Here is a 26,551-nt window from a genome sequence, read left to right on the forward strand (position 1 = left end):
CAACAGAGTTTTGTTTTTATTCACTTTAAAGCCACCTGCTTCAGTCTTTGAAATGAATGGCGGTGCTGTTAAGCAAGGGGAGGCGATAGTTTGTTGGAATTAAGAGCAAGGACTGTGGAGCCAGTCTGCCAGTGTTCCAATTACATTTATGAGCTGTGTGACCTTGAGAATGTTACTTGACTTCTCTGTGGCTCAGTTTCCTCATTTGTAATTTGGGGATATATATGATATATACTTCATACTATGAAGGATTAGTTAATGAAACAGTACATAGCATAATGTGTTAACTATTATTGTTATCTTTATTACTTCACTTATATTTTGTGTTCTTATAAATTGATGCCAAAGGCAATTTTCATTTATCGATAAATGTATGCACATATTCACTTTATATAAGTTTACTGTATTTGTTTTTTTGTTTTTTTGTTTTTTGGAGACAGAGTCTCGCTCTGTCGCCCAGGCTGGAGTGCAGTGGTGTGATCTTGGCTCACTGCAAGCTCCGCCTCCTGGGTTCATGCCATTCTCCTGCCTCAGCCTCCCGAGTAGGCTCGGACTACAGGTGCCCACCACCACGCCTGGCTAATTTTTTGTATTTTTTTAGTAGAGACGGGGTTTCACCATGTTAGCCAGGATGGTCTCGATCTCCTGACCTCATGATCCGCCCACCTTGGCCTCCCAAAGTGCTGGGATTACAGGCGTGAGCCAACACGCCCGGCCAATATAAGTTTATTGTATACTTGCTCTGTTCTGGGTATTTTATTAGGCATTGGAGATACAAAAATTTCAAGACGTGTTATGTATCTCTTTTGCCTGGAGTTGTTGGTCTATGGAAGATATAAATACTAATACTATTAGCATATTAATACTAGTAGTGGGATAAGTGCTGTGACTGGGAAACTACAGTGTGTAATGGGAAGATCTAGGAATACTTTGCCCAACATTGGAGTGTCAGGGAAGGCTTTCCTGCTGAGTCCTGAAGGACAGATAGGAACCAGCCACGTGAAGGGGAAAAAGGAGCCGTGCTTGACTGTTCAAGCACAAGTAGCTGCTGTACAAAGGCCTGGAGATAAAAGAAAGCAGAGTGCTTTTGAGGAACTGAAAATTTAGTGTAGGGAGGAAACTAGCAAGTGTTGAGGCTTTGGGTAGAGAGCCAGATGCTGCCAGGCCTTGTCTACTATATAAAGGAGCTTGGACTTTTTTTTACAAGTACTGTGAAGCCACTGAAAGGTGTAACAGGGCAGTGACATGATCAGATTTATGTATGTACGTTAACCTTTTCATTGAAAAATAAAAGTAGAATATTATATGAATAAATGTGTAGCTGATAAAGTATTTTGACGCAAACACCCTGGTAAGTACAACACAGGTCAAGAAATAGGACTTTGCCAGTCACTCCCTGAAGCCCCTTCATGGGCCACATCCCAGTCCCAGTTCCCTCCCTTCCCACAAAGACTACCCTGATGCCCCAGTGCCTACAGGCGTCATGTCCTTGTGTTCCCTTATAGTTCATCCAAATGTGCATCTCTAGGCATTATCATTTAATCTTGCTCATTTTTTAAATGTCTTTTAAGGCTTCAAAAAAAATCTACAGGCCGAGCGTGGTGGCTCACGCCTGTAATCTCAGCACTTTGGTAGGCAGAGGCAGGCGGATCACAAGGTCAGGAGATCGAGACCATCATGGCTAACACGGTGAAACCCTGTCTCTACTAAAAATACAAAAAAATTAGCTGGGTGTGGTGACACACGCCTGTAGTCCCAGCTACTGGGGAGGCTGAGGCAGGAGAATGGCGTGAACCCAGGAGGCAGAGCTTACAGTGAGCCAAGATCGCTCCACTGCACTCCAGCCTGGGCGACAGAGCGAGACTCTGTCTCAAAAAAAAAAAAAAAAAAAAAAAAAAAAAAAAAGAAGAAGAAGAATCTTGTTGTGGGAGTAGATTGCCAATGTCAAACCAGGAAGTCAAGTAGGCCTTTGGTGTTTATCTAAATGAAAACCTAGAATAGGAAATAATTGACAAGTTCCAGTAATAAATAATTAGCATTCATAAGACTTGACAGTTGTATTTGAGGGCCAAAGGAGACAAAGAATTTTCTTTATGGGATGGTGGGATCTCTCAGTGGGCTTCTAATACTTGGAGCTATTGAGGAATGCTATAAATAATAAAGGTTTGGATTTGGATATACAGAATTGAAGTGCCTGTGGGCCCAAGAGGAGATATCCAATTTATATCTCTCAAGCTTTATTTTTAGCTGCTTCCTGTTTGCCAGTGGTACACTGTAACTTAAGAATGGGTGTGTGTATGTGTGTGTGTGTTGTGCGTGTGTGTGTCTCAGTCATAAAAAAATATATCCAATATGAAATATGCTTTCAGGTACAATATATATCCTTTCTGTTGATGATAGAAAAATGCAGAAAGTCCAAAGGAGATCGTATTTAGTTCAAATTATCCTGCTACAATAAATAAATGAAGAATAGCTGGAAGAATGAGAAATCGAGGTGCTGATACAGCACTGCAGCCACGTGGGTGTCCTCAAATCACTTTCTGGAGCTGAAGCCAAAGAAACATTGTGCAGGCTGCACTCTGGGAGGAGGGCATCAGCTTGAGTGAGTCGTGCTGCTGCTTCTCAAGTTGAAAAAGAAAAAAGGTTCCTGATGAAGTGTAGATAGCTATTAGGGCTTGTAACAACTTAGTGAGCAATTTTTAGTTCATATCTGTGATTCATTTACAGTGAGTTCAGTATTACAAGAAAAAAATTGGGAAATGAAGAGATAAGAATAAATAAAATCTGTATGTATTGCTAATATTTTATATTAACTTCAGCATCTTCCCATTCTAAATCATAATTTCTAGAAACCACATGAAGTTTACTATTTTACCTTTTTCCAAGAGCCTGTTGATATGAGAAATATTTTAAAGTATTACTGAAACCAGTTTGAATCTTTTGCCTTCTGCTTTTCTACTATAACCTGTAACTTGGTCAGAGAAGTTGGGACAATATGATTACATTCAGCATTTGGGGTCAACTTTTATTTTCAGTATAGCAGTAACTCTAGATCTAAAACTGGGGAATGTGTTTAATGCCTGGGGCATATTGAAGTTAGCTCACAAGTTTGGCTCATAATTTTAATTTATTTATTCTGTTTTTTTGGCAACATAGGAGATAACTATACCCCACAACATTTTTTATGATTCACAAAGAAAAGTTCTAAATTAACTTTTATCCACTGTACTGCCAAATTACTTTTTAAAGACATATTCTTTGAAACTGTATTCCCAGGACAAAAAATAAATATTATGGGTTCAGGGTGTTGTCACAGGCATTATTTCATTATTTCTCTTGAATGTAAGTGGCTTCAAAGACAAACAAAATTGTTTTGGAGGTCAAGGGATGTTTTTCTTGTTTTTTTTTTTCCACACCATGACAAATTATGCTTTCCTTCCTGAATTGACTGAGCCCATTTAGTGTCTTCATGCCTGCCCCCTTCATACAACACCATCTGCCCTCTACTTTGAACATTCTGAACTTCTCTGATCTCCTGGGTTCCTCCTGATGATCTCACAGTGAGAATTTTGTCTTAGTCCTGGCTCCAGACCCTCTGCTGGGAAGTGCCTGGGCAGCCTGGATTTCAACACAGCTCCTCCCACTGAAGCAGCCCTCCATGCCAGCAGCATGCCTCTGATGGGTGGCTTATTTTGGATCACATTTACCCTCTAAGACAGTGGCTTTGAAACTTTTTCACTGTGACCTACAGTAACAAACAACCCAGTACAGACATAACTTTTTTTATTTGTTTCTAGTTTTTAATTTTATTTTTGTTTCTAATTTTATTACACTGTTTATTTTTATTTCAACTTTTAGATTTAGGGGGTACATGTGCAGTTCCATAGTATGTATATTGTGTGATGCTGCAATTTGGGATTCAATTTATCCTGACACCCAGGTAGTAAGCATAATACTCAATAGGAAGTTTCTCAACCCTTGTTTCCCTCCCTCCCTCCCCCATCTAGTAGTCCCCACTGTCTTTTGTTCCTGTATGTCCATGTGTACCCAATGTTTAGCTCCCACTTACTAGTGAGAACATGCGGTATTGTGGTATTTGGTTTTCTGTGTCTGCATTACTTTGCTTAGGATAATGGCCTCTAGCTCCATGTTGCTGCGACGGATGTGATTTCATTCTTTTCTATGCCTGCCTAGTATTCCATAATGTATATGTACCACATTTTCTTTATCCACCATTGATGGGCACCTAGGTTGATTCTGTGTTTTTGCTGTTGTAAATAGTAGTGCAGTGGACGCACAAGCTGATGCACACATAACTTCAACTTTACATATATAAATATATAAATAAATGTTTCATGAGATAGCCCTTGCATTTAAATTATGCCTTGTCCTCATTTTCTATTTCATTCCGTTAAAAATATGCTGATTGCAACCCATTATATTCATTTCACAGTATATTTATAGTTTGAAAGCCCTGCCTAGCATTCTGATAAATACAAAATTTTTTCCAGAGAATCCCTACCCAATATCCTTTCTTGGACATCTCCACTGTGGAGACCATTCCACTCTTTAAGATGCCCTCTTTATTCTATAATTCTAGTGTTTAGAATGCTTATTCTCAAAATGTATTGGGAAGCATCTTTATTTCATTAAGAAACAGTACAGGCCTGTGATTAATGATTATATGTCAGGTTTCCGGGGCTGAATGGAATAAACTGTGCAGAGCATTATTTCCTACTGCACCCAGAGTAAAATCAGCCACAGTTCATTCACTGTTTTAAAAAGGCCTCTGGATTTTATGAAGCTCTGCATAATTTCAGCAAAACCTTTAAAAATCAAATTATCAAAGAAAATTATTCATAAAACATTAAAAGCAGAAATAGTGGGTAAATATATTAACCGTACTCTAAGAGACAGCAAAATATCATTTCACGTATGCTAGCTCCTCCAGGCCTACCTCACTTTGGATTTGATGTTTTCCCACCATGAGGGCAGCAAAAATTGGTGATTTGACTACGGTTTTTCCCATTGTGAAAAAGTGTCCCTCATTATTTTGAAACTTCATTCCTCAAGTAATTCTTTGCCCTTTTGCCTGCCGTGTTCTCAGAATATTAGGCAAGTGCTCTTTCAAGTAAATGGGAGTAACTGAGTGTTCAGGCAGCGACAGGAAGATGATGGGGAGTGTACGAGGTGGCAGCAATGGCCGGTCAGGTTTTTTAGTGTCGGTGTATTTGTTGCTAGGGCTGCTGTAACAAAATACCATAGACTAGGTGGCTTAAACCAACAGAAATTTATTCTCTCTCAGTTCTGGAAGCTAGAAGTCTGAAATCAAGATATCAATAGGCTTCATTCCTTCTGGAGGCTCTCTGAAGGAGAGACCATCCTAAGCTGCTCTCCTAGCTTCTGGTGGTTGTAGGCAATCTTTGGTGTTCTTGGCTTGCAAATGCATCATCTCTCTCTCACTCTGACACAGATAAGTTATTTCATTACAATATAGATCTGTTTTATTTTATAAATATGCCATAATTTTAATGAGTGGAATATCAAGTGTTTGCTCATTTTTTTTTTTAGGTGGAGTTTCGCTCTTGTTGCCCAGGATGGAGTGCAATGGCCCGATCTCAGCTCACCGCAACCTCCACCTCCTGGGTTCAAGCGATTCTCCTGCCTCAGCCTCCCTAGTAGCTGGGATTACAGGCATGTGCCACCACGCCCAGCTAATGTTGTATTTTTAGTAGAGATGGGGTTTCTGCATGTTGGTCAGGCTGGTCTCGAACTCCCGACCTCAGGTGATCCGCCTGCCTCGGCCTCCCAAAGTGCTGGGATTACAGGTGTGAGCCACCACGCCCAGCCTGTTTGCATATTTTAACAAGGCAAAAGTTATTGACAACTGAACTATATTGTATACTGTAATGACTTTTCAATGTGTGTACAACTCTTTGTTTTCTCTTGGATTCATAATAGCTTTTTGTTTTATTTGGTAAGTTTTTTATATGGTTATCTCTAGTGACCAGCCAGACTCTCACTCTTGTGTAAGTTTTCTATCTATTCAAACAAGACATTCTTAATAAGACATTTTTTAAAAATAATTCATCTTTTTGAAGAAGTAATGCTGCATCTTTTTGACATGCTAGGATGTGGATTGCTTGCAGCCAGGTCTGCTGTACAGCCATCTTTGTTCCTTTTTCTCTTGAATTGGATTCCTTGTGCCATGTCTTCTTTTTGATATACATCCTAATTTAGGTGGAGATATTTTCCACTGGCTTCCAGAGAAAGCATTTATGAGAGGTAAATTTTGAGACCTTGGATGTCTGTATATGTTTTTTCTTCCCTCAAGTTTAAAGGGTAGCTTGGCTGGATATGAAATTATAGTCTGGAAATTGTCTCTCTGAGTTTTGGAGTCATTGTTTTATTGTATACTAGTGTCTAGTGTTGCTGTTGAGATGTCTGACCCCACTATTCCTGATGCTTTGAATGAAACCTGATATTCCACTCTGAAGCATATAGGATCTTTTTTATGTTACTAGTGTTTTGAAATTACGGGATGATGTATCTTGTTTTGAGATGAGTCTGTGTACTGTGCACTTCATGGATTCTTTCAATATGGAAACTTATCCCCTTTAGTTCTAGCAATTTTCCTTGATATATTTGGATCTCCTTTTCTTCCCCCTTTTTTCTTTTTTCTTTCTTTTTTTTTTCCTCTCTTCTTTTTCACATGTTTAACCTCTTGGGCCAGTCCTCTTTTTTTTTTTTCCTCTGCTGTTTTCTATTTTATTTTCTTACTTTTTTTGCATTTTCAAGGTTTCTTCAACTTTTCTCCCCAGCCCTTTTATTGCACTTACCTTCCTGCTATTTTGTTTTCCATTTCAAGAGCTTCTTTTGTCTTGAAATTTCTTTCTGCCTGCATGGTTTAATTTCTCCCAAGCTGCATTAATGAGTTTGTTCATTTGGGTCTCTTTTGTCCTATTATGGGATTTCCACAAATCTCTGGTAGTCCTTGACTGCCTAAAAATGCATACAAATGCTGTAACAAATTACCACATACTCAGTGGCCTAAAACAGCACAGAGTGATCTTACAGTTTTGTAGAAGTGTAACACAGGGCTAAAATCAAGGTGTTAGCAGGGCTACATTTTATTCTGGAAGCTCTAGGGCAGAATACTTTTCTTTGCCTTTTTCTAGCTTTTGGAGTTCACATATATTCCTTTGCTTGTAGCTCCCTGCCTCCACCTTCAAAGCTAGCAACCTTGCATCTCTTTGATTCTTCCTCCATGGTCACATCTCTCTCCGACTACAGCCAAGAAAGGTTCTTTGCTTTTAAGGACCCGTGTGACTAGATTGGGACCACCTGGGTAATCTAGAATAATCTCCCATCACAAGGTTTTAAATCATATCTACAAAGTCCCTTTGCCCCAGTGGAAGGTAATGTATGCACAGTTTCTTGGGGGACTGTTATTTTGCCTGTCACAGGTTCTAAACAGCTAATTGCCACTGTGTGTGTGTGTGTGTGTGTGTGTGTGTGTGTGTGTGTGTGTGTGTAGCTTTTTGACTGCACTATAAGGTTGATAGTTTGATTAAATCTTTTTCATTGGGAAATACTTGGTGTTCAGAATCTTTAGATTTTTATTCTTCATTATAGACTTCTTGTCCTCCGGAGTCATGTTATATTTAAAATAGATGGTATATTTTTGATGTTGTGTGTTATAAAATTTATATTAAATTTTTATAAGATAAATAAATGTGTCAACTACATACAGTTATTATAACTGCTCAGTTCTTGCCCAAGCCAACATTTATATATTATATTTTCTTCTCTGACAGGACTGGCCACTGTCCATCATCCTGGCTATTCTTGCATGTTTATTTTTTTTTTTCTTAAAATCATACTGACTACTGACAATTGCTAACTGGCAGTTGTCTGTATGGCTTCTCACATGATCACTGGATGCTTGCATAGACATTGACTGAGTGATAACATCAAAAAGTTGTCCAGCTGAACTTTTTGAAACATATTTTACACATACAGTTGTAAAACATGTTAGGCATTTAAAATATCAAGCTCCTTTTTAAAATGGGTAAATATCATTAAATTATAATTTTCATGAACAATATAGGCAGACCTGGTTATTCCCTCCTATTGCCTTTCCAGGTTTTAAAATTTCTCCATTATAATAGATTCTTTAAGAATTTGTCATTAGAATTTGATATGTAAGTGTATTTTTAACCGTAGTCTTTAAGCTATGCCATTCTACCAAAATAGAGGTCTTGTTCCTAAATTTGAATAATTTTTACTTATCATGTTTCTTCCTCTCACCTTTTGTAGGTTGAATATTAGGGCAAAGTATACTTACTCAGTTAAAAGGGATTACAATTATAAATGTTGTTTGATTCCATTTAAATAGATTATGTTTGGGTGGCATGCTTGGATATTTGGGTAATAACACTTCATGTCATGGAAGTAAACATTGAGATAATGACATGGAAATGCCTTTTCCCATTTAACAGTACTACTCTACATTTTATTTTAATTAACTTGGTATATTCCGACACTTCGATTCTTTTTATTTACAAATCATCTAGAATACTTTTCATTTGAGTAAAATGTGTTTCTTTTAATGTCTGCTTTGGCATAATTGACTCCTCAGTATTCTGCTTGAGTGGGGCCAAGTTGACTTAAATTTTATATATTTTAGAATTTAATATTTGGGATATTGAATTCACAGCATTAAAATGAAATTAAGTGGTAATGTACTGCTATATTAAATCCAGTGATTTAATTAATATAGAAATATAGATTGTAAGAGGAAATAGTTTTTTACATTTCAGAGCTAATAAGTTATTTTCCCTGAAAAAGTCTTAATATACAATGAGTTCCCATTCTGTCATACCGTTCATCCTTCTAGCAATTGTTTCCAGAAAGGGCAAGTAGTTTTGTTCCCAAAGTAGATATTGAAAAAGGAAAGCTCATTGTCCATTTCTGTGTACTCTAGCCCTGGCCAGTGTCAAAGGTAAACAATACCGGACACTAAAGTGGCAAGGATAAGTTTTAATCAGTAGTAAGTATTTCAGTAGGAAAAGAGTTCAGCATAAACTGAACTGAACGTCAATTTGTACAGAGGTGAATAGGCATTTTAAAGGGAGGAGGGCAAGCAGGGGCTTAGTAGAGCCAGGAAAGAGAAAAATTACAAAGGGTAGTCAATGTACATGTGATTAGGCCAGCTAATCACACATCTGCTAAGTGGCAATTATCGAGGGTAGAATTCTATCCTCCCACAGAGACTGAAAGACAGAGACCCTATCCTCAAATGTTGACAGGAACAAACAAAATTTTTCTGGAAGCCTTGAGTTTCTTAGGCAGACACTTTCAACAGGGAGAGGGTCATCTCAGGGATATGACCTTGAGGTATTGGAAACTTGTTAGTGTTTACTCTTCATGGAATGAGGTTGAGGCCTAGCCAAGAAGGCACAGAGGAGCCTGGCTAGGGTTTGATCACGAAGAGAGTGTTTGTTACTACCTTAAGGGGCCCAAGGTTCTGAAGATGCAAACCAGAACCACCATCCCCTGGACCAACTCTACCTTAGAGTAGTACATTAGGTGTGCAGGCTCATCAGGGAGGGAAAGAGTTGTTCAGGAAATCTACATGATTGGTGTCTCATGTTCCTTGGGTGGGCCCTGAGCAACCACATGAGCACAGAATGGCAGTATCTCTTCTTCTAATGTGTGCCCCTTTTCTCAGATCTCATGCCTTGCTCTGTCTTGCTGTCATGAAAATGGCAAGGCTTAGAACCCTTGGACCCTTCTGCCTAGCTTTTGGTAGAGCCACTGACTCTGGCATGTTCTGGCTCAGTTCTTATTGCAAACTTGGTGACATTCTTTGAAAGCGCCGTTCTTCCCCTCACTAAGAAGGCAAAACCATTCTAGATTCAGATAATTCAGATAATTCTGGATTCCATTCTCAGCTTCACTGTTTAACTGTGTGGCTCTGAACAAGTAATCTCCTATCCAAATTGCTTTTTCACAACCTATAAAATGGGGACGGAATACCTAATGTTGAGTTGAGAAGATGAAATGACACAATGTACTTAGAGGCTTGGGCACATAACATGTGCTTAATTAATATGAAGTACACTCCCCTCTCCTTTCCCTCCCTGTGCATTTTGCTTCACAATGCCAGTGCTAACCTTTAGCCACCTGATCAAACACTTGGAATATGGACGCCAAGCCAGGCCAGAGATTAGCTGAACATTCCCCTTGGACTGCTGACTACCCACTCAGAGCCTCCTAGATCAAGTCTCTATCTTTCAGGCTTAATCTGGTCCTCTTGGCAGATGTCTGCCAAGACCCAATGTGCTTTACAGATGAGGCCTCAGAGGTGAGAAATCCACTTCCCTTTAGCTACATTTATAGGAATTCCATACCAAATTTAACATATTACTAACATTTAACATTCATGGTTAGTTTTCACATTTAAAATGGAGGGAAAAAAGATGAATCACTACTGCATTAGTCATGTTTTTAAAAGGAGTGGTAATACATGACTGTCTTAACTTATTGGAGTTTGTTTCCAAACACACAAAGGTGTTTGGTTGAAAGTTAAATGGTTTTCTATCAAGTTACTGTGTTCAGGAGACTTTTAGAATGAATAGAATAATTTACATTTTTAAAATAGAGTTGACCTAATTCTGGCCTATTTTAATGGTGTGCCCAAGTGCACGTGGACAGAGGTGTGGCATATGTACAGTAGACACAGCTGCAGCAAAGCTGGCAAATGGGAAGCTGGTGGTGCACTACCCTGGTACTTTTAGAGTTTGCAATTTCTAAGGAGTTCACTGTTGTGTTCTGAATGTAAATTTATAATTTTTGTAAAGCTTGTTTCATTTTAACTTAAATTTGTAGTTCCATAACTATCTACTGTATAAAATCAGATTTTAAACGCAAATCTTCTACTTTATGAATTTACGAAGTAAATATTTTATAGGTTGGTAAAACTATAGTTATTCTGAAAATGAGAAAAAGAAGATGGATCATTTTATTGGAGTTATCCTCCTTTGTTGGAAAGGTCTGACAAATCATAAAGTCTCATTTAAATACACTTTAAAAAATATGTAGATTTGCCTATACTGTGGATCAAATTGTGATCTTTGGAGCATAGCTACATATGGAAAAGCCTGCTATAAAGTTGTTAGGTTCTGAAAAGTACTAGGAAATAGGATTAATTATAAAGGGAATTATGAGTTCTATTGTTTCTAGTATTTGTTTCTTGTATACTGTTGATTAATTTAAATAAGTATGAGTGATCTCTTGGCACATCTTTGTTTTCAAAGACCTAATTTCTTTTTATTGTAAGTGTTTATTTTAGCAGTATTTGTGTAAATTAAATAGACAGTTGCTATGAACTGAATGGGACCCTCCTCAAAATTTATATTGAAGCCCTAACCCCTTATGTGGAAGTATTTAGAGAAAAGGGCCTATAGGAGAGAATTAGATTTAGATGGAGGTCCTAAAGGTGGGGCTCTCATGATAGGATAAGTGCCCTGATAAGAAGCGGTGCCAGAGAGCTTGTACTCTTGTGCACTCTCTCTCACGCTTGCCTTATCCCCACACCATACATCTAGGACAGGCCAGGTGAGCACACAGTAAGATGGCGGCGGCCTTCTAAAAGCCAGGAACAGAGCTCTCACCAAAACCTGACCATGCGGGCACCCTGATGTCAGACCTTCAGCTTCCAGAACTTGTAAAAAATAAATTTCTGTTGTTTAAGCTACCCAGTCTATGGCATTTTGTTATGGCAGCCTGGGCTAAGACAACAGTATACAAATTTAAATAATATTCTGTGAACCTTGCAATGTTAAATTTTAATCTTTTCACAGGCAGTTATTTTCTATAGACTGTCTATATCAAAACTATATGAAAATTTTAAAAATAGAAGCATTTAATCACTTGCAGTTCAAATCTATACCAATAAAAATAGATAGCAACATTGTTTTTAGGGTTCCTTTTAATGGTTATTTAATCAAATAAACTGTCACCTTTTTAGTGATACAGACTTCTTCGATTGCCAACTATTATACTCCATACATAATATTTTAAAAAGCATTTATGATAATAGAAGCAGTCTATCCCTTTAAAATTGGTACAAAAATTTGGATTAATGAGACTGCTCAACTTTGGAAAAATAGTTATGGCTCATTCTTCCTTTCAGAATCACAACTTAATTCATAGACACAGCACATCATGACCAAACTCTATGCCTTTCCCCACCAACATTCCACCCTTACACTCAGAAAATCAATAGCTCTTTCCTGTGTTCAGATTAATTTATTTCATATAAATTCACCTTTGAAAATATTCAAAGTATCAGTTTTTAAACTTTTTGGACTTGGAAGCACTTTGTACTCTTAAAAATTAATGAGGACATCAAACAGCTTTGTTTATTTGGGCTGTATCTATCAAAGTTTACCATATTAGAAATTAAAACTGAGAAGTTTGAAACATTTATTTGTTCATTTACTCATATTTATATATTGTCAAAGCTCATTTCATATTAACATAAACATATTTTAGGAAAAAATAACTATATATACATATATATATATATATATATATTTTTTTTTTTTTTTTTTTTTTTTTTTTAGGTACAGGGTCTCACTGTGTCACCCAGCCTGGAGTGCAGTGGTGCAGTCATAGCTCACTGCAGCTTTGAACTTCTGGGCTCCAGCAATCTTGCTGCCTCAGCCTCCTAAGCTGGGACTTCAGGTGCATGCCACCAGGCCCAGCTAATTTTTAAAAAATTATTTTGTGTACAGACAGTTTTGCTATGTGGAACTCCTGGGCTCAGGCAATCCTCCTACCTTGGCCTCCTAAAGCACTAGGATTACAGGCATAAGCCACTGTACCCAGCCAAACTATATTTTTTTAAAACAAAAAATAGAAGGAAGGTGTTGTTTTACATCTTTGCAAATCTTATGTGTCTGCTTCTGCACTTGATTTGTTGCTATGTGTTTTTTTGGTTGAAGTATGTGAAGAAAATCCAGCCTCACAGGAATATGTGATTGACAAGGGAGGAGTATTTTAATAATCTTTTCAAATAATTGTGAATATTCTTCTTTGACGCTACACTAAAACTTGACTGATAGTGGTTCCATAAAAATTAATTTCAGTATAGAATCTGAAGCCATGTTAATGAACTCTTCATACTCTTTTACATTAAAATCCATTGGCATATTTTACACTTAGGAGTGGCTGTCTTATCGGTGCATGGTTTTATAACATCATGCCTTTGTTATTTTGCATGTGTGTTCACTGAGTTATTTCAGTCTACCGAATGTTGACACATTTAATTATACAATATAAAAATCATGTTTGTTGATGTTCTTACTGATTTCATCAGAAAAATCTTTAAGTATTGGTAAGCTCTTAAGCTCTTGGTAGTGGATGCAAATTTTCCAAAATTCTTATTTCCAGTTGAAAGCTCCAAGTTTGTCATTGGCAACAAAGGCTTTCAGCTTTCCTTGAACTGGCAGGCCTTCCTTGTTTATTTTCAAGAATATTTCTGTGCTAACACCCAAATTGAGATAACTATAATTTGTCAGTTGATCATTCTGTCATGTAAAAATGTTTCATGAAAAAACCGAGCTAGCTCAGCTCTCAACTCAGTGCATGACTTCTTTTGTTTGTAACGTTCTTGTACTTTGGTACTCCGTTTAATCACATAGGATATTAGAAAGATGTATACTCAAAGAGTTGAGATTTTATAAAGATTAATCACTTTTACCACTTCATCAAGGACATTTTTAAATAAAATTGGCTTTAAAAATTAAACAACAACAACAACAAAAACCTGAGTGCATGGCAGTGCAAAATCATACAAGGACTACTAGGGCAGTTTAGTGCCCCTGCTTGGATTCTTGCTAAGGTTACAGCAGTTTTACTTAATACTGCTTTTGTACCATCAGTGCAAATATCAACATATAACATCTTTACGTTATTATGAAAATGATTCTTATTTGTGAATTCTCTAAAATGTAATAGTCTCGGAAGCCCCTCCCTGGGCCTTACTTTGAGAACAGCTGCTCTAAGGGGTGAAACTGTAGTTTACAAAAGAGGAATAGTGTAAATATTTCCTCAGTTAACCTCCTCTTAACTAACTTGCCAGTGAACCCAGCTTCCATTCCTTGTGTAACACAGTAGCTGAATGTCAGGACTTGTAGGTTGCCCTTTACTTTACATTTATTTCTTTTCCCCCCAGTAGAGTTACCGGCTGAGCAAGTGTCAGCTGTATTTGTTCTCAAACCAGGTAATACAGTTTCCCTAATACCTGTAATGAGACAGTTTTAATAATACCAATAGATAAAGTGTGAGTTCAAAAAGAAAAAGCTAATATTTCTAGAACCAACCTAAAAGCTTTGGAATAACTTACTGTAAAAAATTGCTGTCATGATATAGTGTGATTGAGATTTGTAGAAGATTAGGGAAAAACTCATAAAAATCTAGAAGGCTTCTGCGTTCCCTCACAGGTATCTTTAATTTCTTCCTATATAATAAAGAAAACAAAGCTGGAAATTGTGGTGATGTGTTATGTGTGTTCTTTGCAGGAAAGAACAATGAAACTCCATCTGTAGACCCATATTCAGAGAATAGGTTTTGGCTCACCTTCAAAAGATTGGTGAATCTGTGTACACATGGATATATTTTAAGTTGAAGCACAATTCATAAATTAATGTCTGTCTGTTTTTTTAAAAAATAATTTCCCACTTCACCACCATTCACAGTGAACTGATTTATTACTGGTCAGGATCACATTGAATAAGATAGTTTCTCAGCTGCCATCCATGAACTAAGAGCAAATTTCCATTGGTTTTTATGACTGTAAAATATAGTCTCTTCCATTATTTCACTTTGTATCTAAGGCTGGGTAAGATCGTGTTGGTGAAAGATTTAGATAACTTTTTAGAAATACAGCTATTACAGGTCAGCTTTTCTAATGATATAGGGACAGACCTGAAGGTGCCATAAACTTTTTTCTTTTGGGGCGCCAGTGTTACATTGAATTGGAAACTGTTTGAAATAAACAAACTGCAGGTTGGGGCTTGGACATTTTCACAGAAATTTGCATAACATTTCATGAAGGATGAGAATTATATCAAATGTTCTGGTTATCTATAAAAATAAGCTTATTGGTTAATCACACATGTGAGGGTTTACTGGCTGGTAGCAATTCATTGACATCAGCTTTATCATGGGTCGGTGTATATAGTGCCATTTATAGATGCATCATGACATGGTACAATGACACAAGTTGGGAAACAAATGACCTGGCTTCCCTGCCTGGCCCACCAGTCACCATGAGTCAGTGAAGATGATATTCCCAACTCCCTGGCAATGAGTGTGCAGTATGAATTGTTTTTCTCCTAGAAGTAGAGAATTCATTCACACTCTCATAGTCTGTTTACAAACAGTACACACACTGGCAAGCTGACTGGCTAGAGCAAGGGAGCTTTGTCTGTTACTAAATTGCTAAGAAACTCATCAATCTTTTTAGCACTAGTCTTTTTAGCACCAAACACCGAATGGTAACCAAATGCTGAAATTATTACTAAATATAAAGGGATCTCTCCAAATTCCTGATTCCATAATGATCACATAATCACTGCCAGCAGTGTGGCTGACAGTGAGTTACAGGTTTGTTCCTTCACTTTTTCCTTCTTTCTGAAAATATTTATTGAGCATCTGCTGTGTGCCACACTGTTCTATGATTGGGGATCCAATTGCGAATACAATAGTGAAGAAAAAAGTCCTGCCCTTGTAGAACTTAAATTCTAGGAGGGGAAACATATACATAGACATATTCATACATATATTTACTAAAGGGAAAAAAGAAAAGGGGAATTAAATATTATTTTGGGAGGATGATGAAATTCTGATAGGGTGACCAGGGAAGGCCTCACCTAGGCCATTTCTTTAGCATAAACTTCTAAAGGAAAAACATAATCTGGAAGAGGTAGTCTCTCAGAACATTTTAAAGTATTTGTAAACTGAGGTCTATGAGGTTTGTTTGAGAGAACTAATACATCTTAACTTTTACTAACTTTAACTGAAATCCAACATTTCTTCCAATCATGAGTAGAGATAACCAATCTTGATGGTATTGGGAGGATCTGTAACAAAGTTACAGGTAGGTATCACAGATATTTTCATTACCACATTACAGTTGTTATAGACATCTCAAAAATTATGCTTATTACCACTTACAAATTATAGTAGTTATTATCCCTGCTATTAAATGTTGGTATTTCATGCCTTAATTTAAAAAAGCCTGTATTATTATTTTTTAAATATGTGTATTGATAATTATATTTCAAAATAATAGATTTCCATGTATCCTTACATATTATGTCTTACGAATTTTAAAACATTTTGAGAAAGAGGTCAAGGCTTCACTAGATTGCCAAAAGAGGTTCATGGCATAGAAATGTTAAGCTTTAGCTTCATCCCTAATTGCTTTCTTCTACCTCCCACAGGTACAGCACACTTTTGATTTGTTTCCCTCACTTGGAGATTACTCAAATACATCCTGAACAGATGGGAAGGGTTTTCTGGTTAATTCCTTAGAATTCTGATTGTGAAAGATCCTTTGTTTGCTTCCTGCTTAATGCAAGCCACACACTAATTTGCAGAATAATATAGCTAGTCAAACAGAAATTTGGCTTCCTGGAAAATGACAATGTAATTCTTTTTTTTATTTTATTTTATTTATTTTTATTTTATTTTATTTTTTTTTTTGAGACGGAGTCTCGCTGTGTCTCCCAGGTTGGAGTGCAGTGGCGCGATCTCGGCTCACTGCAAGCTCCGCCTCCCAGGTTCATGCCATTCTCCTGCCTCAGCCTCCCAAGTAGCTGGGACTACAGGCGCCCGCCAACACGCCCGGCTAATTTTTTGTATTTTTAGTAGAAACGGGGTTTCACCGTGTTAGCCAAGATGGTCTCGATCTCCTGACCTCGTGATCCGCCCGTCTCGGCCTCCCAAAGTGGACAATGTAATTCTTAACAGAAGATCAACTTTTAGACTTCTTAGAAAGATATTTGAAGGACCTTTAAGGCAGTGCAGTTCAGTTTATGGGAAAGAGGGATGTAAAAATTCTGAGTTAGAATCAGCTCCCACTCACGTTTGCCACGCTTCCCACCATGGTGATGACCAAGTGGGTCTGTGCAGATTGAGAGATCATGGATTATGGACCACAGTACCTTCGCATTGACCAGCTATGGGAAATAAGAGGCAATACATATGTTCAACTGTCTTAGCAAGGTGGCCGTAAGAATAGAACTGAGAGCATCTTATTCAAGTGAAAAGGAGGAGTAGGGTGAGCACTGGTTAAATGGGTATTCCAGAGAATTTTGCCCTGCCAACACATGTTCTATGCTTCAGATCTCTTTGAATATATTCTACTACTTCTTGTCATGAGTAAAAAAAGTAAAAATTCTCAACATCTCGATGTTGCCAGAATCCTGAGAGAGAAAACTGTTTACTATATAATTTTTACATTTTAGACAAACTTTACGCTTGTTTCTAATGTGGAGGGAAGTCAGTTGTGTGTCATTAAGCCCTTGGATTATATCTTCAAGTGTGCCCTTTAGTTCTGAGAAATAGACACTTTAGAAGTGTGGTGAAAGCTGTGAGTCTGATGAACTCATTTCCATGATTTATTTTCCTTTACAGGTTGGTGAAAGATGCTCCTTGGGATGAGGTCCCGCTTGCTCACTCCCTGGTTGGTTTTGCCACTGCTTATGACTTCTTGTACAACTACCTGAGCAAGACACAACAGGAGAAGTTTCTTGAAGTGATTGCCAATGCCTCAGGGTATATGTATGAAACTTCATACAGGAGAGGATGGGGATTTCAATACCTGCACAATCATCAGCCCACCAACTGTATGGCTTTGCTCACGGGAAGCCTAGTCCTGATGAATCAAGGTGGGTGTGGACACAGCCAAGGTGATGCCTGAGCTGACGGAAGTCATAGTTGCCATGTTGTGAGCAAAGCATTTTTATAACCATTCTTAGTACATGTTCATACTTGGATCCTAACTAAACCCATGAAATGAAGTAGTCCCTACAGTATCACTTAGTTAATTGAGGGACATCTCCTCCTTATTTTCTGCTAGTATATTAGCCGGCATGTTATCTAATTATGGCTTATGATGATCCCAGAACAAATCCTCACAGCTCAGGGTCAGTGATAAATATTCATTTTTTCCAGAGAATTTTGACAGTGAAGACAGCCATCCTGGAATAAGTGAAATTTTAAAAAGCTAAACACATGGTTGGTTATTTGAAATGAAGATTTCCAGCACACAGATGTGAATCATAACACCACTACTATTTTTTCCTCTTAATATTTAAAACAACCAAACTGGATTATTTACATCCAAATTGGAAGCAATTTTTGTGGATTGTGTAGCTACTTTGCTTTAACATATTGCATAATTGCCAATAATACATTTTCTTTGTTCTTTTAACTCTAAATTACAACTTCTGTAGAAATCTATAAATGACTGATTAAGATTGTGTTTAAGAAAAGCAGCTCTGAGATCACAGGGAATTATCAGAATATTAAATATATAATTGGAGATTGGAAATCTAACAGAATTTAACTCGATTATACTCCCCATAAGAATTATTAAGCATTTTGTTGATTATCCAGCATCGGATTTTACCCAAACCTAGCTTTCTCCCTTGTCACATCAACCAACCGTCACTTTTAATTAGGTCTTAGAGGAAAAGAAACTAACATTAACTGAGTATATGACATGTGCAAGTCTTTTTCCATATTTTATTCAATTCTCACATCAACCATATAAGGCAGCTGGGATTTGGACCCACTTCTGGCCATCCATAAAGTTCAATCTCTTTCTGCTGTATTTTGTTATCTCTGTCAGAAGGGGAATTCCATTTATAATAACTTAAGCAAAATTTAATTATGAGAGTGAATTTTCATGCTAGCTCCCCTTGTCCCCTACTCTCACAAAAACCTAAAGAAAATTAAAACATCAGGTCAGGCGTGGTGGCTCACACCTGTAATCCCAGCACTTTGGAAGGCCAAAGCGGGCGGATCACTTGAGGACAGGAGTTCGAGGCCAGCCTGGCCAACATGGGGAAATCCCGTCTCTACTAAAAATACAAAAATTAGCTGGGCGTTGTGGCGTGTGCCTGTAATCCCAGCTACTCAGGAGGCTGAGGCAGGAGAATCACTTGAACCTGGGAGGCGGAGGTTGCAGTGAGCCAAGATCCCACCACTGCACTCCAGCCTTGGCAACAGAGTGAGACTCAGCCTTAAAGAAATAAATAAATAAAATAGAAAGGAAAAGAAAATTAAAACATCAAAATGCAAACAATGTGAGAATCCACTAACAAACCATTTATAAAGCCCCAGGCCTGTGAAAAGACACCATCATGAAATGGTGAAAGGATCCCTTAGGTGAGCCAAATTTCTGCTTCAGGTCTTAAATTTAAGCTACTATAGTTTTATTTCCTTAAATAAATTTTTATTTATTTAAGGGAAGGAGTAGAGTTTATTTCTTCAGTCTTTGTAAATAACATTATTCCAAATAATAAGCAGTGACCCAAAATACTGGTTTGGATTGAATCAAAATATGTCATTTTGCCCTGGCAGGAATTTTCCTATGCATTTATTTTCTGATTAAAGTTATGGTGGCCCTGGCAGACACTCTTCCAGAGCCCCCACATAAGTACACACATTTATGACAAGACTAGACAGAAGGAGGTAGAAATCAGTTGGAAAGAAGACAGGTGTGAAATGTTTAAATGATTACACCATAGTTACAGTAACCCCAGAGAGTGAAATAAAAGATACCATGAAAAGCGTTATGGTTAAATATAAAATGAGTATATTAACTTGGAATTCAAGAAAGCAGTGTTCTTTCAGTAATTTTCTTCATGTAACTTTGAAGATGGATAGGAGAACTTAAGGGGAAATTAAAAAACATTCCAGGCAAGGTATTCGGGTGGCAGAAAAAAAATACAGGGTATAGCTTCAATTAACAGTATCAGTACCTTGTATTCACAGAGAGTTGCAGTTTACAAAGTATTTTGGTAGACATTGCCTCATGTCTTCTGAAGAGGGTTGTTGTAAGGAACAAATAAGGAAATTTAGGTAATGTGGTATCCTGGGAACAGTGATCTGATTTTAGGCATCAGTCACATTGGTATCTGGTGGGAGATGGAAGACACACAGGAAAAGGATGAAGATAATTAGAATTTTAAACCAGAATGGTAGAGAATGGAAATTGAAAACTATCCAGAATATTGACATATCAGGTATGATGCTGGGTGGCAGAAGAGGCCAGGGTATGATGATCAGTCACCTCTGCATACCCAAGCCTGACAGCTGCATTGCCCCCATTAGTCAGGAGCCAAGTCTTAGCCTGGGACCTATATTTAGGCCCAGAGCTGGTTAGATCTGGGCCTCTGGAAGCCCCACACCTGCCACATAGTAGGCCATGGTAGCGTGGTCAACATGTTTGTGGAAGTAAAGCAATGTGGCTACACCCACACCAGGAGGCATTGGGCTTAATTTTATTCTCAAGGGTTGCGTGTTTTAAAGGAAAACCTTAAATCTAAAGACCTAGGTTGAGATTAAAGTTGTGTTCATTTTTAGTCATGTGCCAGAGGTCTTGAACAAGTCAGCGTTTCTGTTTTGGGGCAATGATACATAATTGGGTTGTTAAAAGGATTAACTAAGATTCTGTTCAGTGCTGTGTAAGTTATAAATGTTATAGAAATATGAGGAGTTGGCCGGGCGCGGTGGCTCACGCTTGTAATCCCAGCACTTTGGGAGGCCGAGGCGGGCGGATCACGAGGTCAGGAGATCGAGACCATCCTGGCTAACACGGTGAAACCCCGTCTCTACTAAAAATACAAAAAAAAAATTAGCCGGGCGTGATGGCGGGCGCCTGCAGTCCCAGCTACTCGGGAGGCTGAGGCAGGAGAATGGCGTGAACCCGGGAGGCGGAGCTTGCAGTGAGCCGAGATTGCGCCACTGCACTCCCGTCTGGGCCACAGAGCGAGACTCCGTCTCAAAAAAAAAAAAAAAAAAAGAAATATGAGGAGTTGTTATTGTCAACTAAGTGCAACAGTTCTAGAAAGCTAGCATTTCTGAGTTAAAAGGTTTTATAACTTGTTATAGACTTAATTTTCAGTGGGGAGATTAAAATGTGACAGATGGAAGAATTGCTTGGACAAAATCATGTAGCTCATTTTTTGGCAGATTCAGGATTCCTAGTTGATTTTTCATTATTAGTTTGCCTTTCCAGTGGTTTCTCAGCCCCACTGTGCTGCCTTTTCAGATCCTGTGGAAAAGCACATAAAGGATAAGAGGTTACCTTCTAATGACAATACAAATTGAAGACTGTCCGTTTAGCGTTTATAATATGTGCAGCCTATTACAAATTCTATAAAATAATGATGCAAGTTTCACAAAGAGATAAACTTTTAAAAATATTTTCAAGTATTATATTTTTAGGAACACTGAATAAAAATCTTAATATACAAATCCTCTCTTGCCAACATAAAGTTATATGCATTTGTGATCTTACATGTGATACAGTTTATTAAAGACTGGAAAGTGACTGATACTCATTTAAGGGTTTCTCTTCATTTATAGAGTCAATAACTTTTTTTTTTTTTGAGACGGAGTCTCGCTTTGTCGCCCTGGCTGGAGTGCAGTGGCGCGATCTCCGCTCACTGCAAGCTCCACCTCCCGGGTTCACACCATTCTCCTTCCTCAGCCCCCCAAGTAGCTGGGACTACAGGCATCTGCCACCACACCCGGCTAATTTTTTGTAATTTTAGTGGAGACAGTGTTTCACCATATTAGCCAGGAAGAACTTCCTAACTTACATCATGGACTGTCACAACCTGGATTACAAGATGTTATTTATACACTGACAAGTTGGAGTTTTACAAAACGCGATTTGTAATATAAACTAGTTAGATAACTCAGAGGGTTTTATTGGCCATATTTTTGTTTATGCTTTGTCACAGGCTTTAGTCATTGCTTCCATGTGTTTTCATCCTTCAGGATATCTTCAAGAAGCCTACTTATGGACCAAACAAGTTCTGACCATCATGGAGAAATCTCTGGTCTTGCTCAGGGAGGTGACGGATGGCTCCCTCTATGAAGGAGTTGCGTATGGCAGCTACACCACTAGATCACTCTTCCAATACATGTTTCTCGTCCAGAGGCACTTCAACATCAACCACTTTGGCCATCCGTGGCTTAAACAACACTTTGCATTTATGTATAGAACCATCCTGCCAGGTATAGTGAGGAGTCAGAAGTGTGAAAACATTAAACTATTGTAATTTTTTCTGATTATGAAAATGAGCTAGACTAGGCAGAGAAATTAGGTCCTTAGAGTTTGTCATATTGAAATTAAATAGATTTTTTTAATCAAAGAAAAATTGAATTCAAGAGTTGCATATAGCCAGAACATTTTGGAGGCTAATGTGAGTATTTATGATTTAGGTATTATAAAGTTTGGAGGGTTATGGATTAAATACAATTTCTAGGCCCCTCAATACTTTTTTTTTATATATCCAAACTTGAGTAATATACGAACTCATCTTCATCATTGCAAGCAAAATATAAACATTTGTGATTACCTGTCAGTTTTCCTTTATATGTGATCCCTGATCAATCCTATTTTAATTTTTGGTTTTCAGTTTTTTCTTTCAAACTATACAGACATGATTCAAAATGAAAGATTACACCTACACATTTAAGTTGGAGCTTTAGTATTGTAATATTTTATTGAAGTAAATAGTATAGAAAAGTAAACAAAAAAAGTGCTGTAAAACTTGTAATTTCTTTATTGCTGTGTCATTTAGCCTTCTAAGAGAACTAGCTCTAAAAAAAATATATACATGATTTAATAATGTATTCATTTCCAGAGAACTTTGTAACCTTTTTTTATTTCTAAAACAGGACTAAGATGTTAGAACAAGTTATAAAGGAAAATTTTATCAGGATAGATTCCCCCCCTTCCCCAAGGAAATGCAATTTTTAGATGGTGATTCTAGACCTACAACAAATAATATAGTATTTAAATCTTTTGGCTCTGGTAGTATACATACAGATTAATAGAATCTCCATTATTGGACTAATTCAAAAATATTGCAGAGCATAAGAACCATTTTAAGATTTAGTTTAGACTTACATTCAAAAAAATACTGCTTTGTTGCTTTTTCTTAGACATGCAGGAGAGGCCTGTTTTGCAATTCATCCTAGTAAACAAAGGCTACCTGAAGCAAGGGACCTTTAAGAGGTTTCAGTGCTTTGTAATTTAAGCTGAGATCTAAAGGCTAACTACATCAGGAATTGTGTTTGCTGTGAGCTGTGTCTGTGGCTACTTCCTAAAGTGGAAAAGACAGTATGAACATGTCTAAGAGCAGCATTTATATGTTTGTGTTAATTAAACAAACTTTTATTGAACATCTGTGTGCCAGGCACTGTAGTAGGCAGAGGATTCAAAGAGGAATAAAACACATCTCCTGCTTTCAAGGAATTCACAGACTAGTAGAAGATTCAGAAAATATCATTTTAAAATAAGGTATACTTACAAGATCATTTACTAAATTATTAGGAACAAAAACATTAGCTGTAAATTACATAAATATAATTGTGGTAACATTTTAGAAGAGGTTCTATGTTAAAGCAATCTGTTTTCAACTTCATTTCTCTCTTTTTTTTTTTTTCTACAGTTGATACTCTAGTAGCAATTTTTTTGTCTGGCTGAGTTTTCTATCTTGCTGCTTCTTTTTTCATGAACACGTGGAGCATATCCAGTCTTACCTGCTTTTATTTTTCTTCCCTATTCCAAAAATGATATATGGCTTTATGATCCTTGCATTTTCTGTCGTTTAACTTCCAGCAGTACATACTGGCAGGAGCTACTCCGGGAATTAAATTTTCTTCCTGTAGAAACTCAGTCTCTCCCCTGAACTTCGTATATAGTATAACTTACACTTTATTGAAGCCAAACTGAAGCATGTTATTTTATTATCTTGGCCTAGAATGCATGTTGAGTTGTGGGAGAGCTAGTGTTCATTCCAGGTTCAGAAACCCAAACTGCACAAGAGGATGTCCCATGTATATATGCAAATATAATCACGTATAGCATGAACATTGGAAAATGAGGAAGGCAGGGAATAGGTGTAGCACTAATGTTACCAAGGACAGGTTACCACATAATAAATACAAGCTTGCACACAACATATGTGGAAGACCTTTTGAGGGATTCTGACTAACTGGTCTGGAATAAAATGTGAGGATTGTGATTTTTCTTTTATTTTATCCCTTCCATTACACAATTCTAATTTGCAACTAGATTTGAAAAGTCATTGTTTAGACCTATATAGGAGTGTGAAGTTTTCAAAGTATCTTAATTCTTTCCAACTTATTTCCCTAGGGTTTCAAAGGACTGTGGCTATTGCGGACTCAAATTACAACTGGTTTTATGGTCCAGAAAGCCAATTAGTGTTCCTTGATAAATTTGTCATGCGTAATGGCAGTGGTAACTGGCTAGCTGACCAAATCAGAAGGAACCGTGTGGTGGAAGGTCCAGGAACACCATCCAAAGGGCAGCGCTGGTGCACTCTGCACACAGAATTTCTCTGGTATGACACATTGGGCTAGCTTTAAAGAGAAATGGTACCCAAGGGTACTATTCATGCTATGCACTTGTTTTTTTGCATTTAAAAAGAAAAACTAAAACACTTTTTAAATCTTTTCTCCATGCCACCTGAGTATATGAAGTTTCAATTCAACTCATATCACTGTTTTTGAAACTCTTAGAAACTTTTCTTTTTTAAAAAAAAATTTCAACTTTTAGATACAGGGGTACATGTGCAGTATACCCAGGTAGTGAGCATAGTACCTAATAGGTAGTGTTAGAAACATTTCTTTATGTTTAACATCTAATTACTGTTTTCAGTTTTTGGTTCTCATATTAGAGCTGTCCTACACTTGCACTATTTCATAAATAAGCATGTTTTGATTTTACATCATTTTTTGAAAGCATATAAAACAAAACACAAAATTTAGACTAGGTTATTCTGATAATCACACCAAAAAAAAGGTAGTAAAATATTTTGTTTTGGTAAATGGAGCATTATAATCTTCTAATAGCAAAGCTGTTACTAAATTTTCAAAAGTGTTTAAAAGTGTTTGACAGTATTTGACAGCTTCACTTTGATAATAAAAGGACCGTATAAATTTTTTTGCCTTAATCTTTTAAGCCCAGAAAGAGAAGCTTGGGTCTCCTTTTTAAAGTATTGCCAAATATGTTGTTGGCATCCAATAAGTTAAAATCAAAATTACAGGGAACTGATTAATCATTAATCCCTGATGTCTTTTCAAGCTGTTGAAATTTGCATTCAACTCCAAAACAAGCTTTCTTGTGGTTTGCTTCTCTTTATCCTTTTTTTTCAAAATACAAAAAAATTAAGGAGGAAAAAATATTAGTAAAATGGTGTCTATAGTTTAACCAACAATTTAAGATTATTTTCATAGATAAACTAAACATATTAAGATGCAACCATCCTTGAGTTCTCTCAGGAGTATGACATAATTACTTAATAGTGTAACCCATAAATAAGTTACTCATAAATATTCAATGAAGAGAGTTCTATAAAGCTAACTACAGGATTAATAGGTCAGATTAATGCTAAGTCTAACTTAAAAATCTGCCTTTATAGCAATATGCAAACTGACCAAAAACTGAGAGTAAGATGGCCAATTCAGCTTACATCTACACTTTTTAAATCACATTAATTAAGCCAACATTATACTAGACCTAAGTAGAGATATAATTTCTGATGTCTTGAAACTGAGACTCTAGAACAACAGATGAAACAGTCAATATCAAACACCAATAAGATTAACTCTAGGTGATTGATTTACTTTAGGGAAAAGTACATAGTGCTAATAATAAACATTTATCATAAATGAAAATAAGAAGTCATTTATTGTCCAAGAAGCATGGCATCATCTGCAGATTAAAACAAAACCAAACCTTTGGACCTGGCTGGTCAGTAGTAGGCACAATTATAAATCCCTCAATATAAGACAGTTTGCTGAAACTTCATCCATTTATATTCTGAGATGTGGTGTTGGTGATACATTTTATCTAATATGTGAAGTTCTCCTCTATTTCAGTTTATTTTTTCAAGGAAAAAAATCTTGAGGGAGAACTCTTTTCAATACCAAACATTCAATAATATCAGTTACTGCAGAACTATACTTTATTACAACTCAAGGCTTGTTAGAGTCCAGATTCTAACATGGCATTTCTAGAAGAGGAGCCCCTCAACCAGAAATTTGGATGAAGTGCTTAAATCCATGAGGCCCAGTAGTTTGAATGGTCACTCTGACATCATCAAGTGAAGATAGTCCATGTAGAGATTAGAGCAGAAATCATTTCGGGCCCAAACCCAAGGATCACAAATGATAAAGAAATATTCCTCTTCCAGTCACCAAG

At 37.1% G+C, this 26,551-nt stretch overlaps 1 protein-coding gene across 13 annotated transcripts in view; it reads left to right on the forward strand.

Moving 5' to 3' along the window:
- Nucleotides 1–26,551, forward strand: part of DSE (dermatan sulfate epimerase) — a 190,691-nt gene that overhangs the window by 154,691 nt on the left and 9,449 nt on the right. For 7 of the 13 annotated variants that reach the window (NM_001322937.2, NM_001322940.2, NM_001322938.2 and 4 more), the window contains 3 exons: nt 17,713–17,966; nt 22,093–22,332; nt 24,482–24,689. In NM_001322937.2, the coding sequence (NP_001309866.1) occupies nt 17,713–17,966; nt 22,093–22,332; nt 24,482–24,689 (702 nt within the window). Of the gene's footprint in view, nt 1–17,712; nt 17,967–22,055; nt 22,954–24,481; nt 24,690–26,551 lie in introns of those variants that run through there. The other 6 variants (NR_136524.2, NM_001322944.2, NM_001374521.1 and 3 more) reach the window with 4 other exon arrangements.

Source organism: Homo sapiens, chromosome 6 (genome assembly GCF_000001405.40).
Source record: "Homo sapiens chromosome 6, GRCh38.p14 Primary Assembly".
NCBI lineage: Eukaryota > Metazoa > Chordata > Mammalia > Primates > Hominidae > Homo > Homo sapiens.